Genomic DNA, 16,094 nt, shown 5'->3' on the forward strand with positions numbered 1-16,094 from the left:
GAGCAAGTGAAGGCAGAAGTGCCACACTTTTAAACCATCAGATCCAGATCTCATAAAAACTCACTTACTATCACGAGAATAGAATGGGGGAAATCTGCGCCCATGATCCAATCACCTCCCACCAGGAACCTCCCCTGACATGTGGGGATTACAATTCAACATGAGATTTGAGTGGGGGCACAAATCCAAACCATATCAGTGTTTGCCTCCTGTTTTTCCTCCATGCGTTGATTTCTTTTTACATAGTTATCGTCACCCTGCTGTACAGTTTTGCAGCTTGGTTTTCACTTAACCTCATCATAAGCATCTTTATGTGTTATCACATCCTTTTTCATAAACATTTCAAATAGTTGCCCAATCGTCCATTAAGCAGAGGTTCTCTGGTTAATTATATTTAATTTCTTCTAGTGAGATGCTTGGGTGATTTAATTTTTTTATATTGTAAGTAACTTAGCAATAAAAAACTTTGTGTCTAGGAAATTACATATTTAGGATTTCTTTTTTCTTGGAGAAATTCCCAGAAAAAAAGTTGAAAAGTAAAGCCTTCTTCTTTATTATAAAATGAGTATATTCTTATTATAAAAAGTTATTAAAATCTGAGAACATGAATTTTTAAATGTGATAAATTTGCATAAACCTACACACAAATAGGTGTGTGTAAAAACTCATGAAATCTGAATAAGGTCTATAGTCAAGCTAACAGCATTGCACTGATGTCAACTTTCTGGGTTTGATGCTGTACAATATTATGCTTCTGAATGTATTCATTCATACTGTTGTGAGTAGTTGGAGAACCTTTGTTCTCATTAGACTATCATATTCCATTGTGTGTCTATACCACACAAGATGTAACCATTGGAAGAATCTGGGAGAAGGATACATGGGGTTTTCTGTATTATTTTTCCAAATTACAGTGAGTCTGTGATTATTTTAAAATAAAAGGTTAAAAAATATGAGAGAGAGAAGGAAAAAAAAGCCCATCACTCAAGCACAAACCCTGTTAAAGTTTTGATATATTTCTCTTCAACCTTCTGTTATGCATGGTCAAAAATTGTAATGCAGGCCAGGCGCAGTAGCTCACGCCTGTAATCCCAGTACTTTGGGAGGCTGAGGTGGATGGATCACAAGATCAGGAGATCGAGACCATCCTGGCTAACACGGTGAAACCCTGTTTCTACTAAAAATACAAAAAATTTGCCAGGCGTGGTGGCAGGCCCCTGTAGTCCCCGCTACTTGGGAGGCTGAGGCAGGAGAATGGCGTGAACCCAGGAGGCGGAGCTTGCAGTGAGCTGAGATCACGCCACTGCACTCCAGCCTGGGCAACAGAGCTAGACTCCATCTCAAAAAACAAACAAACAAACAAACAAAAAACAAAACAAAAAAAACAGTAATGCAAAATAAAAACCATTTTAAGGCCCTTGATCTGTGCTGTACTTTATTAGGCATAGCTTTGAGAAGATACTAAAATAACTAGAAGACAGTGATGAGTTCTGAGAGGACTGTGGCTGCTGTGCAGACAGGCTTGAGGTGGCTGAGGAACCCCTAAGGAAAACATGCAGCGCCCATCGACTTTCCAGCTCTGCTCCCTGCAAGCCATTTGTTCACTTGCTCCATGCACCCGTTCCATTTCTTCACTGAATTGCTCTGAGGAACCTGTGAAAATGCAGGGTTTTTTGACAACGGTATAATTGCTTTCAGGGGGTGTACACGGAAGCCAAAACAAACAAACAAACAAACAAAGGTCCTTTAGCTAAATGCCTAGCTCTAGCTCATAGCTGTATTTGCAGAAAGGATACCAAGAAAATGACTGAGGTGGTTGCATTTCATTAATGCCCCAACTCCTAATGGGAAGCACTTGAGTCAACAGCACTGGAGAACACGCAAATTCCCTTTCAATTCCACATCTTGTGCATGCTCACCTGCCAGCCTCATCTCCATGACAACCAAAGAGCCTTCTTCAGAAATCAGCTCAAATGGCACTACCTATGAGACCCTGGCTTCAGCAAGCCACAGGGCCATGACATGCCCCCTGCCCTGTGCCCCCTGCCCTATGCTCCCATATATCTGACCTGCTGCTGATGTTCTGTAATTTTTCTACGTGCTGGGCTTTCTCCCCATAGACCCTGAAGCCTTGATGTGTTTCTTCCTTGTTAGACACCTCCTGCAGTCTCCCACGCATTTAGAAATAGGTTCTCAACAGGTGTTTGTTGATGCAGGGAAGGAAGAAAGGAAAGAAGGAGGGAAAGAAGGAAGCAGGGAGAGAGGGAAAGTGGAGAGGAGGGAAGGGATTCCATGGGTGTGAAGGCAGTTAAAGCAGCTGTGCCCCATCTTTCAGAACATCTGCAGCTCTCTTGTGGCCATCACTAACATTCATCTCCTCCTCCCTCTGAGCCTGGCATCAACATATCAACATGGTGTAATAAGCAGCCTTCTGGTGTTGCCTTGGAGGCTTCCACTTCGGTTCTTATTCACCCTATTCTCAGACAAGCTATAGCTAATGCCAACCAGAGAGCAACTGGCCCCTTGTGGTTTCACCACTGGGCCTGCTCTTGGGCAGAGAGAAGGACCAAGCAAGTTACACCCTCAAGAGAGCATACTGGTTTTGCCCATTTGGGCGATGAGGTTCATTCCTGAGGGATTGCTTAGCGTGAGATGTGGAGATAGGGCTTGGGCCCAGTTCTAGCTTTGGCCATTTCCATGACCTTGAACCAGGTGCTACAGTAACAAGACTGCTTCTGCAACTAGAAATTACATGGGTCTACAAGGTCCTTCTGTTTTTCCAGCTCTGAGATGGAGGATTCATTGGCAGCAGGTACAGGTCAGAATCCCAAAGGTGGGAGTCAAGGATGTTTGATTTCACCAGAATTCCAGGGCCTGGGGCAGGCAGGGCCAAGGTCAGGCCGACCTTGGCTGGACATGGTCCATTAGAACTAAAGGAACCAGACCTCTCCAGGCTATTTTGGATCACCAGGACCAGTCCAGCCAAGTAGGCCTTCTGTCCTAGATGGTTGAAAATGGTTATCTACCTTGACTTTGCAATAGGATGGCCTGGGGGAGCTTAAGAAAATGCTGAAGGCTGGGTTCACCCCATAAACTCCTTCTCTGCAGAGTTGACTTACCCACTAGGCACGGTGCCTAGAACACACAAAAGGTTTACATTTCCCTTGAAATCAAATGAAGAAAACAGACTTTTACGTCAAAGAAGAGGTTTTAATATGCAAAATTAACATATTTTTCTTTATACCAAAGCAGTCATAAAATGTCTCAATATATTTTTACAGATGAAGGAGCCCTGGAAACTCATACTGTAGCCCTGGCCAGGGGTGCCCCACTGTGGCATCGGGAGTTTTGAAAGCTTCCCAGGTTGTTCTAATATGTAGCCAAGGTTGCAAACCACTGGTTTTAAGGGTGTCCAAGTGACTTCCTATGCTTAAATAGGTCTACCTGGCCTCCCCTGAGTCTTGCTAGAAATTTCAATTTTAGAGAAATTATAATTAATTGAAAGTAAAAAGTTTTAAATTAAATTGGAACCTGGTTTCTAAAGTCCTCATTCAAATACTTATCAAATGTTGCAGTTACCAGAGACTGAGTAGGCTTTGAAAAAGTGCATTTAATGTGTGAATAGAGGCAGGAGAGATTACTGGTGGTAGTACAGGCAGTTGGCATCCCCAGGCAGCTGGGGGTGTCTGCTCAGGCTAAGAAGGGGGGCTGCTGATGGAGAGGAACCCAAGTGGCCACCTGGACAGCCAGTGGGCCCTCCTATGTCCATGGGCTCCAGGGACTTCCAAAGCTTTCCTTGTTAGATCTGAAGCAGCCTCAAGGCAAGCAGGGTGATGGATTGATCATTATTACCCCACTTTCAAGGTCAAGTTCGGGCCACACATCACAACAGGCCGACTGCCCACCAGCCAGGCAGTGTCCTGCAGCACGGGTGACTTTGCTAACTTCAGACCCTGTATTTCAGTTAAAGCAGAAGATACTGTTAGACTGTGTTTGGGGAGAAAATGAAAACATTCTCTCACTCTTCACCAGCTTTTGAAGACCAGCATTGAAAATTGCCATGATTTTCATAATGGTACACTGATCCCAGGGCAGCCATGTCTGAAATGTTCAGGTAGAAGAAGCAACAAGTGATTTTGTGTGTGTGTGTGTGTGTGTGTGTGTGTGTGTGTGTGTGTGTGTGTGTGTAACAACATGCTGTTTAATGAGCCCCTGGGTGCAGGTGGGCTGAGGCCTAAAATGACATCAGCCCCAAGGAGGACGGGACAGGGGTTTTATAGTCCTCTGTAAACAGGAAGTGTCCCAGTCTGATGTGATTGCTACGTAGTACCCGGATGGCCTCCTTCTCAATCTTCAGGGGTACGTGTCTTCCAGCCAGGGTAGGTATCTTCTGGCTGGCTCTCTTCCTGATTCTGCTATCTTGCTGACACACGCTGCTGACTCACGTGGACTTGTGCCTTTGGACTGGGCCTGAGAAGGGAGGAGATACTCATCCCTTCAAACTTTCAGGCCCCAGAGAGAATCTTTCATTCCTATTTGGTTATAGAAAAAAGGGAAAAGGGGCAACTTTCTCAATAACTACTGCAGGTGTGACATAGGGGGTGGCGTGGGCACCTTGGAAAAAGAAAACCTTAATTTTTTGGGTATTCTTGAGAGACGGGTTGGTATCCACTGTGTCACTGTAGCAGAAGCAACGTCTGAATTGTCTGGTGGTTAACTGTAGTTTCAACAAGTTTTAATGGCTTTTATTATCAATGTTTTAATGGCTATTATCAATGTTTTAATGGCTATTATCAATGTTTTAATGGCTATTATTTAATTATTATCAATGTTTTAATTATCAATGGGATAACACAGGAGAAACAGGAGGAGCCCAATGATGAAGATTACTGTCCCTACCCATGTTTTAAATCCTCCTAAATTAGAGAACCACCCTCCCAGAAGGTTTGCCAGGTCCCATCCCTTCCAGGTTTGAGTTGGTACTTGGGCTACTTTTCTGATGTTTGAAGCAATTTCTAGAACTGCTTTTTCCATTATCATCTATGTTAAAACAGCAATTAGAGACATTAAACTTACCACAGACCCCACCTTCTTCTGCTAATAAGTAGTCTAGTGCTAGTCTGTTTTGATAAATTGTCAGGTGCATTTGGTTTTGTTGTTGCGTGAGCATTTCCAGGGCTGAGGTGGTTTGGTTAGTGATTATCTCTAGAACCACCTGTAGTCTAATTATTCTATTTAGCATAAATATGAGAGTATGATAACCCCATGAACCATCCTCTGCCCAAGTGACAGAACTGTAATATTTGAATATCCGCTGCGGAAGCCATTCGTCCTCTTGCCATCTTTGGCTTCCTCCTACCTTTAAGGATCGTTTTTCTCTGTTTAAGGTATCATACACAGGGACTCCCAGTATGAGCAACAAGTGATTTTTGGCCTTCCCTTTAGGAACAGGATCTCCGGCAGGGTCCACAGGGCTCCACCCTGGCTGCAGGACAACAGCTCCATCTTTTGGACAGCGATGGGATTTGCTTAGGGGCCCAGAGAGTATAGACACTGCCCTCTGTCTCCTCACTTCCACTGCCCCTACCCACTGCCCAAGAAATGAAAAAGAAAGAGAAGAAAAAGGGAGACAGGCAGCTCTCCAGCGTGGAGATCATCAGTCTTGCTTCTCCTTCCCTGCAAGACTATATGACTTGCATTTGCCATTGTGGAAAATTTTACAACATAGTGGAGAGAAAATAAATACTTCAACTTTTTTTTTTTTAATTTAAAGGTGAGCATAACACTAAGAGGTTAGTGTGAAGTGTGATGCCATTCCCAAAGACCTGAGGGCCTCGTGAAAAAAAAAAAAACTACGTACATTTGAGTAAACCTCTGTCATGAGAGCAGAATAATCACAGAATATTGAAAGGAACTAAATATGGTATTTCAGCCAGTCAAGAAGTTACCTCCTTGATCTCTAAAATAGCCATCTCCATTTCATTCTGAACACAATTTTTATCATTAAAAATTTCTGAAGCTGTAGTTCCATTATATGTATCTATTTCTTTAGAAAGTATATCAATGAACTATGGCACACATGTCTTGTGTACACTGTAAAGCCTACAAAAACAGAAATGAGAATGTGACATAGAAAGAAATACAATTCTTCTTTCCCACCACGCCCCAGAGGAGAGTCTGGCACCTCCCGCAGAGTGTGCCTTTCACGTGGAAACCACAGGGCAATACTGTGTGAGTCCAGCCAGCCCATGGAGGATGGAGTGGCAGGCCCTCTTGCATCTTCACTAGAAATGTGGGACATATGGATGCACATTTAGCAAGAAGATGTTGCTGGAAGAAAGGCAGGCCACTCTAGTTTTGCCAGTGCCAGGTCTCTGAGATTCGGGGGCTCACCAAATACCATGCCAGCCCTCCATTTGCCAGCCTGGTACAGCTGGGCCAGGTCGCTGCGTCCCCCATGGAAGGCGGGGGAAGCACTGGTGACCAAGCGGGAGCCTCAGGACCCAGAGTGCACAGAAGGGGCCTCTGCCCTGCATTAGGCTGGAAGTGAATGACAAATAAACATTCGTTGTACTAACCCACAGAGACATGGGGAATTAATTGATAATTGGAGCAGGATCACACCTATTCTGACAAATACACGCAGCAAGTCTAGCTGATGAGAACTGGAGGCCAAGCTTTGGAAGATCAGTTATGTCCACTTGCAGCACGTAGAGGTGCTAGGGACACAAAGGAAGTGTCCCTAACCAGAAAGAACCAGGAAGACACAAACTATCTGCTAGTACAGTGCACCACCAGTCTGGTTATTCATAGGTTGGTGTGTCTGCACGTAAAAACAGTATCTTTCCTGAATATGAATGTGTTGGTGTTGTTCTGTTCAAAGCATTTCCATGTTTATTGTTTCATTTGGCTAGCAAGTATATATATTCATTCACATGCAAAAATCCATGCAGACTTGGGAACAAATTGTATGCCACCTCTAATGAAGACTTCATTAAGGTTGTGACAAGTATGTTGGTGACTCCGCTCTTTCACTGCCTCCAGCTCCCTTCATGAGGACCACCTTGGGAACCCCTGAAATCCTGCTGATGCTGAAAGCTGGAAAGTGACCCTCAATATCAGTCACATGGAAATCCCTGTGCAGTTATGTTGGATCGATCCTGCCAAATAAACATTCTGGACTTCTGAATTGAAGGTTCCCCTCTTCTAGTTGTCAGCAACACCACCATAATAACAGCAGATACAGTTACATGCCAGGTACTACATGAGTGTGCTCTCTAACTTGCAAGAACCCTCTGAGGTAGATGGTATTATCTTTATTTTATAGATGGGAAAACCAAGACTCAAAAACAAGAAGTAGTGACATAAAAGGTGAGGTTCACTCATATCCAGGGTGATGGGATATGAGGGTGGCGGGAATGTAGTTGGAAGTCCCATTACAACCCCTGAGCCCTAGGTGGCCACACCACCCCCTTTCTCCTCTGTCCCCAGCAAGAGCCTTTCTCTACGTAAGTTTCTGGAGAGATGGCCACCTCTTCTCGGCATTCAGTGTCAGGATGCCAGAGCCCCCACCATGCAGAAGCCCACTGAGCTGGGGACTTGAATGAGCTGGAGCAACAGGAGCTTCCCTAGAGAGCGAGGTAGGCCCTCTGCAGCCCATGTTACCTCCACCTTCAGCTGCTGACTCAATGTGCACAGACAGCAGAGGAAACTAATGCACCTGTCCTTTTTTTTCACTTGCTAGTGTCCTGTACAAAAATGATAACACCTACTTTTGAAAGCTTTCTAAGGCAAATGCTGAGAAGATCAATGCAAAACGTTACCAGGAGGAAGTCTCCCTCACTAAGGTGTCTGAGGGATACATTAGTTCCAAAAGAGTCTCCAAGTATCTCTTTAGAAGTTTACATTGCCCTAGTGGTTATAGTTTTTTAAAACCATTCAAAAATAGCACGAAAGGAAGTAGATGACTTCTAAACAAATGGTGAAAGTGAGTTAATTGAATGTGGTTCCTGTTTGTTTACACTCAGGCTTAAAGGGGAAAGAAAACCAACATTGATTTGTAGGGGGGCCACCATGACAAGATCTGTGCTGTTCATTTTGTGTGCATGAGCTGATGAAACCATGCTGAGTATTGGCTATTATCACCCCCATGCTACAGACAGGGGGAATCGAAGCTGCCTTGCAGGTGGTGGAGCCGGTATTGGAATCCAAAAGCAGGCACTGTGGTTTGCCAAGAAGCAATTCAGCTGCAGCCCCTTTCACAGCAAAATGCCAGGAGGTGTCATCGAAGCCTGAGTTCTGACTGCCCTTGCTGGGTGCATCTCAGACCAAGAGCAAAAGAGACATGTGAGGAATCAAGGTCTTCCTGGCTCCCTTTGCTGCACCTGGGTTCAGAGGAGAGCAGGGTCATGTCACTGTGATATGCAGGAGGCTGATGCACAGGAACAGAGTGGAGGCAACAGGCAGATGGATACCCTATCCCCTCCTGAAGCCCAGGAGGGAGCCCATGGGCAGGCGGGGGAACAGGGCGCCCTGAGGTGTTCTGGGCTCATTCCGAGGACAGGTGCTTTCTTCAGGGGGAAGATAACATGCACAAGTGTTAGATGTGACATTTTCACAACATTCGCATTCTTGCGCAGGGCATGGCATGCCCTGGCTTTGAGAGGAGCAGGAGCCCAGGGCCCCCACATTCTGTGGATGCCTTCTCTCCAGGTCCGATGCCATTGCCTTTTCTATGCCAGAGGGAAGAACTGGACCTAAAAGGAGAAGTCTTTCCATGGCTCGTTGGACAGCAAAACCCAAGCTGACCTGACGTAAGACTATTTCTCATTTTCACTGATCCCACTGGGAGTGAACATGCAGACATTTCCCTGCAGCATATTCATGAGTTTGGTGATGCGTGCTGCCCCAGCCACCCCTCCACCAGGGTGTCATGTAAAATAGCACATGCAGCATGCTACTCTTCCAGAGCTGCAGTGTTCTCGATTCCGAAAATGCTTAAGGCTTTGGGTAAGGGCTTGTGGACCTGGGTGGGAAAGAGGTACCTAAAGTTCCCATTTCACAACCCAGGAATCAACTTCCAGTAGGCTCTTTACTGAGGAAAATCAGGGCACCTGGCTAGAAAGCCAGCTCCGGCTGGCTCCCTCGCAATGGTGCTCCGTCCTCTGGATCCCAGTTTCCAACTTAGAAATGGGGACTTGGGCTTTGAGAAGGGTGGGGAGTGTGCCCAAGGTCTCTGGAGAGATTGTGGCAGAAGCAGCCCTAGAACCCGGGTCCTAGCTGGCAACCACGGCTCCTCCCACTCAAATGGATTCCTTTCCACGTCTGGGGTTTTCTCTCAAGATGCTGACATGCGAATTTGTCCTTCTCTTCATAAAATGCTGTGCTTGTGAGCCTGAAATCAGTCCTCTCCACTCCCTCTCAGGTGTCCACCAGGAGGTTGGCAGATGTCCTATATTTTCAGTTCCCTAGGTTGTCAGGCGGCCTTCATGCTGCACAAATCATCATGCCACAGAGGAACAACCCATGCAGTCACTCTAGAGACCCCTGGGCAGGGTTCTAAAGAAAGTGAGCCCCGATAAAGGAGGATGTGGGAAATTAAACTGGATTGCAAGGCATCCCCCTCAGGGCACGGGGCTGCAAGCAGGCTGCACCTTCTCGGCCCAGTTGTTAGCGGGCAGTGGGCAATTTGGAGGCCCCAGGTTCCTGCTTCCCATTTGCCTGGCCTTAATGGGCACTGTAATTATTAACAAAGATGGTAATTTCAGGATTGCTTGTAATGACAAGAGGAAATCTGAAACAACCTCAGTGACCTTCAAAAGGAGACAGTGAAATGCATCATGAGACACCTATGAAATGGGAAATGAAGCAGCTATAAAAATGAACTGTGACATTAATTGTGCCTATGGCTTGTAGAACAGTCTGTATCAAATGAGTCCCTCAGGTCTGGAAGTGGGCGGGGGTCCTCCAGGCTCCTCAACGCCACTTGCGACCATTCTCCCTCAGTGCTCCCTAAAATCCTCCGTCTTTGAAGTTGGAACTGCTAGAATTCATGATTAGTTTTCTTTGCAGCCATCAAATTCCTACCCTAAAGTCATTAGCCCCCTTTTTCTGGACATTTGAGCTCCTGGCCAACTCTCTCCATGCATGGAATCCTTCTACAATCTGGCCTTTCAGTTTTTGACCTCCTTTCCTCCTGTAATCAAGTTCTCCTCCCCACCTCAGCTCATGGTCATACCCTTAATGATGAAATTACCAAAAACTGCGATGCTATTTAGAATCTTGATCTGGGGTGTTCCATTCTCCAGTAACCCCAGCTTATCTTTCCCATGCACTCCTCTCTTTCTCCAATTCCATTAACTTTTTAATCCCTTTCAAACTTACAACCCACACACACCTTCTACCACTTAGACACCCCTTCTAACCCATGGTCCCACCATCTTTTCTCCCTCTCCCCGGCCTCACTTCCCTCTTCCCCAGCCCTGATGGGCCGTAGTGCCAATCATTTTCCCATTCTTGTGTTAGCCTCTGTCCCTTTGTCTCTTTCTCAATTTGTCTCATTCAGCTAAATCCCAACCCTGGTTAAATCTGACCTCCCACCTCCTCTGTACCTGAGCCCAGAAGGTTAAATTCACTGGTCTCTGCCTCTGCCTTACCTTCCTACAGTCTGTGGTCACCTGCAGGCACAGTGATCTTTTTGAAGCTGAAGTCAGATCATGTTGTTTCTCTGTTCTGTATTCCTCAATGGTGTTTCATCTCTCTCAGAGTAAAATACAAGACTCTTCAAATGCCTCCCCTTTCCTGCCACCCAACACCTCTCTGACTCTCTCTTCCTGTTCCTTCCCCTCTGCCTTCTCTGCTCCAGGCATGCCAGCCTTGTAACTGGTCCTTGAACTCACCAGATGTGTCTGCCCCAGGACATTTGTACCTGTGGGTCCTGCTGCCTGGAATGATTTTTGCCCTGGGTATTCACATGGTTTGCTCCTTCAGGTCTTTGCTCAAATGTTACCGTCTTAGTGCTGCCTTTCATAATCATTCTATTCAAAACTAATCCTCTCTCACTCTGCCTTTCCTTCTCCTTCTCCCTGCTTAATTTCCCCAGAACATTTAGTTTCTTCTCATATCTTACATAATTTTTCATTTATTAGGCTTATTGCTTTTCTCTCCAGATAAGTATGTAAGCTCTATAATGTCTGATTGTTTTGTTATTATATCCCCAGTGTGCAGCACACATAAGTATCTGCTAAATGAATATTTCAAAATTATATAAACATATATATGCATACACACATGAACAAAATGCTAGAATATTATACTCTTGTGTAAGAATTTATGCTTTATATATGTAATACTTAAAATGTGAACAAACATGTAATACTTCTATGGTCTAAAAAATCAAGAAAATTAAAAACAAATATTTTCATGGGCTGCACCAGCTCCCTTGTTCCCTGCAATTCATATGGGGCTTCCCCAAAGAATGTGCACTCCCACAGGCTGCCTTAACAGAGGCCTGTCTCCCCATACAGGCCTGGGACCTCCAGCCTGCCCAGATCCACAGAGAAGCCCCTGGCTCCTTGCCTGAAGGGTTTGACCTGGAGAGGGAGGGGGCAGTTGAATCCAGGATGAGATCTCCTTGCATGGGCAAGCCCCAGAAAGAACCCTCATGTTCCCCTCTGGAGAGTTGAATGAAGAACAGTCTCTTCAGCACCTGTGCCTTGGGAAGATGGTTTTGTTTGTTTGTTTGTTTGTTTTTGTTTTTGCTTTAGATGGAGTCTCGCTCTTTCACCCAGGCTGGTGCAGTCTGGGCTCACTGCAACTTCCTCCTCCCAAATTCAAGTGATGTTCGTGTCTCAGCCATTCCAGTTACTGAGACTACAGTTGCGCGCCACCACACTCGGCTAATTTTTTGTATTTTTAGTAGAGACGGGGTTTCACCATGTTGTCCAGGCGGGTCTCAAACTCCTGACCTCGGGTGATCTGCCCACCTCGGCCTCCCAAAGTGCTGGGACTACAGACATGAGCCACCACGCCCAGCCAGGGAGACTCTTATGTTGCATGTTCCGATGCAACACTTTGATGCAGGACTAGCCAGAACTTTTGTACTCAAAAGTAAAAGGTGCACACAGTGGCTGGGCACGGTGGCTAACACCTGTAATCCCCCAGCACTCTGGGAGGCCGAGGCAGGCAGATCACGGGGTCAAGAGATTGAAACCATCCTGGCCAACATACTGAAACCCCATCTCTACGAAAAATACAAAAATTAGCTGGGCATGGTGGTGCGCACCTGTAGTCCCAGCTATTCAGGAGGCTGAGGTGGAAGAATCGCTTGAACCCAGGAGGTGGAGATTGCAGTGAGCCAAGATCCCGCCACTGCACTCCAGCCTGGCAACAGAGTGAGACTCCGTCTCAAAAAAAAAAAAAAAAGTGCACACAGTTGTGCCACTGTCAGGATGGCTCTCTCCAACAATAAGTTGATCCCATATTAACTTCAGATGCACAAGTCAGACTGCAGAGTTGGGAGTGTCCTGCTGCTATGGGAGAAAATTAGGTATCCACTAGGCCTCCTTGCCATGTGAAGTCCTCAGAGAGCATTGCCTTCTGGCAGTAAAGTGGAGAAAATAGCTTACGGCTATATTTAAAAGGTGAATTGTTACATTAAAATTATGTGTACAACATTCACAGGAGGAAGCAGTCCAGCCCCTTGATATTAGTAGTGGGTCTATCTGAGACAAGCTCTGAGCAGACTCGAGGACCTGCTGGGGGCCTGCTGTGGGGGGTTGGCAGTAAAGCAGGTGTCAGCAATTAGCATGATTGCCACCTGGCCTGTAAGGATCTCCACTTTCCATAGTGTCTTTGTGTGTCACCTCCCATGCTGTACCAAGTCATGTCACTTCTTTCTGTCTTGCCCTCACTCTCCTCTGCCCCTTGGAATATGCTTTCTGGAGGACATCAGCCTCCATGTCATGTTCAGCCCTATAGAGAGGCCTGCGTGGCAAGGAACTGAAGCTTCCTACCAGCAAGTATGTGATCCCCAGCCCCGGTCAAGCACTCAGATGCTACAGCTCCAGCTATAGCTTGATTGCAATCTTATCAGAGACCCTGAGCCAGCACCACCCACAAAAGCCACTCCCAGATTCCTGACTCAGAAACCTTGTAATAAAAACAGTCGTTATCTCTAGATACTCTGTGTTGAGGTTACTCAGCAAGAGATGACTAATAATAATTTTGGTATGTGGAAGTAGAGCACTGCTACAACACATACCTAAAACATGAGTGTCTTTAGAACCAAGCAGTGGGCACTAGCTGGGAGGCCTTACGGAAAGCATTCACGAAAGCCTAAATTGCTTGGGACAGGCTGTCAGTAGCATTTGAATTTGAGGAGGTGACTGATAGGGGCATAAAGGAAAGTGAGGAAAATTTGATTGGATGTGAGAGAAAATGGGGTCCTTGTTATGTGGTGGTAGAAAACTGAGCAACACCACTGCATGCAGTAATTCAGGAGTTAGGAGATGATTTAATAAACTGGGTGATCTAGCCAAGGATGTTGTTCAAGGCAGAGAGTTGAAGGTACTGCCTGGTGTCTTCTTATTGCTTATGGTAAAATATGAGAGAAGAGAGATACACTGAAGAGAAAGGAGTCAAAATTTGCTGTTTTTGAAGATTCCCAGCCTCTTCAGATGGCAATTGATGCTACAATTAAGAAATGGCTTCTGAGCAAAGATCAAACACAGGAAACTCTCAGCAAAGCATAGTTCAGAGATGAAGCCAAGTGTGTGACTGAAAAATCCTTTGTTAAGACCTCAGAATGATCAAAGATTGTGCCTCTGAATACCATTAAGCCAGACAAAAGGCCCTCTAAAATTTTAAATGTATGCTTCACAGATCCTCTCCATTACACAAGAGAGCTTCTACGATGCTTAAGGAAGCTGTTCCTCAGCAGAAATCCAAAATGGAGAAGGACTTACATCGAAGAGAATTGGGGGTGTCACTTTTGTCTAATGGAGTAAACCCCAGTGAGATTCACATGAGACCCACAATGTTTTTAAGAGACTTACATCACCAGAAACACCTCTAGCTTGGACTGACACAGACAGTTCACAAAGAAGAGAGAACTTCGGATCTCTTAAGCAGAAGAAGCTGAAAAACCCATACATAGTACCTGTCATGAAAAAAAATAGATGACTCAGAGGTGGGTCCAAGAGCCCAGAAAATGGAATTAAGAGCTATGAAGCTATTGCTGGGCAGTGTAGGACTGAGTCCTGAGAAAGGGACTCCCACCATTGCCCAGAGGGACTGCTATGGACAATGACTCCCTTTTGCTCCCATTTTCCCTCTTTCAAAACAAGAATGTTTATACAGTTATTCCCTGCCTGTTACACCAATGTCAGGTGTGTGCAGGACAGACAGATATCTTGTCTTCTTATGTCACAGGTTTTCAGATTGAGAATTATGTCTGAGGAACTACACCTGAGGAACTTCTTCAACACTTGGATCTGATTTTGAGAGTAAGATTTCAGACTTTGAGCTGATTCTGTAATGGGGATAAGATTTTGCTGGGGGAGCAAGGGGGAAGATCTAGGTAGGGCTGGTGTGTCTATCATGCAGAGGAACATGAATCACTGGTGGCCAAAGCATGGGCTGTGGTTGCCAGTCTCTAGGATGACCCCTCCCACGTGTCAGGGTCAGTCTGTGTGAGCAGAAGACAACAGAAGTGATGGTATGTTACTTCTTTTTTTTTTTTTTTTTTTTTTTTTTTTTTTTTGAGACTGTTTCTCACTCTGTTGCCCAGGCCAGAGTGCACTGGCACAATCTTGGCTCATTGCAACCTCCACCTCCTGGGTTCAAGTGATTCTCCTGCCTCTGTAGCAGGATGAGCCACAGACAAAACCCCTCAGACACCGAGTTAAAGAAGGAAGGGCTTTATTCGGCCAGGAGCATCGGCGAGACTCAAATCTCAAAAACCGAGCTCCCCGAGTGAGCAATTCATGTCCCTTTTAAGGGCTTACAACTCTAAGGGAGTCCATGTGAGAGGGTTGTGATCGATCGAGCAAGCAGGGGGTACATGACTGGGGGCTGCATGCACTGGTAATTAGAATGGAACAGAACAGGACAGGGATTTTCACAATGATTTTCCATACAATGTCTGGAATCTATAGATAACAGAACCAGTTAGGTCAGGGGTCAATCTTTAAGCAGGCCTAGGGTGTGGCACCAGGCTGTCTGCCTGTGGATATCATTTCTGCCTTTTAGTTTTTTTACTTCTTCTTTCTTTGGAGGCAGAAATTGGGCATAAGACAATATGAGGGGTGGTCTCCTCTCTTATTCCCCCCCTTTGAGAACCTCGCTCATTAGTGGGAGTTCTCACTTTTATTTTCACTACCCGTGTCTTCTTGCAATACAGATCGATAGTGATTCATATAGTACACTTGTGCTGAAGCATTTTGGTGAACTAAGGTAGTGATTAAACTTTTTATCATTTGAAGAAGTACAGGTAGCAAACAAGGGAGCAGTAAACAGTTTCCTATTACTATTATAACTCTTATTATAAGAGGTTTAAATCTTCTTAGCCGTGGGAACCATTTTCCAAACATGGCCCCAGGATCAAATCCATGCCACACTTGCACGGGCATGTGTGCCAATTTTGTCATATCTCTAACTATGTCTTCAACTCTTTGCCCTTGATTACCTATGTGTAGACAGCAATTAGTAAGGTTAAATTTCTGACAGACCCCTCCTTTAGCTGCTAGCAAGTAGTCGAAAGCCAATCTATTTTGATAGATAGCATTTCTCATCTGAGTTTCTTGCTGGGCCAGAATAGTCAAGGCTCTGCTGGTCTTATTAGTGATTATTTCTAAGACAGCTTGCAACCATATGATTTGGTTGAGCATGTAAATGGGGGTCCGGTATCCCCACAAGCCATCTTGTGGCCAAGTAGCAGGCCTATGACATTGTATGATTCTCTCAGGGGGCCTTTTATCATCTTTCCAATTTCCTATAGCTATGCTTCTCTTTTCACAGGAAGCATAGACAGGGAAGCTCAGGAGTTCGCCTGTCTTTATGGGCAGTGGGAAGAAAGACGATTTAATAGTGCCAAT

At 45.3% G+C, this 16,094-nt stretch overlaps 1 long non-coding RNA gene across 2 annotated transcripts in view; it reads left to right on the top strand.

Annotated features, from left to right (window-relative positions):
- The window catches only part of LOC105373531 (uncharacterized), a 28,470-nt gene extending 21,525 nt beyond the window's left edge, over nucleotides 1-6,945 (top strand). For both annotated transcript variants that reach the window (XR_923144.3, XR_923145.3), the window contains exon 3: nucleotides 5,446-6,945. This is a non-coding gene — a long non-coding RNA (uncharacterized LOC105373531). The remainder of the gene's footprint in view (nucleotides 1-5,445) is intronic.
- Nucleotides 6,946-16,094: the final 9,149 nt, after the last annotated feature.

Source organism: Homo sapiens, chromosome 2 (genome assembly GCF_000001405.40).
Source record: "Homo sapiens chromosome 2, GRCh38.p14 Primary Assembly".
Lineage (NCBI taxonomy): Eukaryota > Metazoa > Chordata > Mammalia > Primates > Hominidae > Homo > Homo sapiens.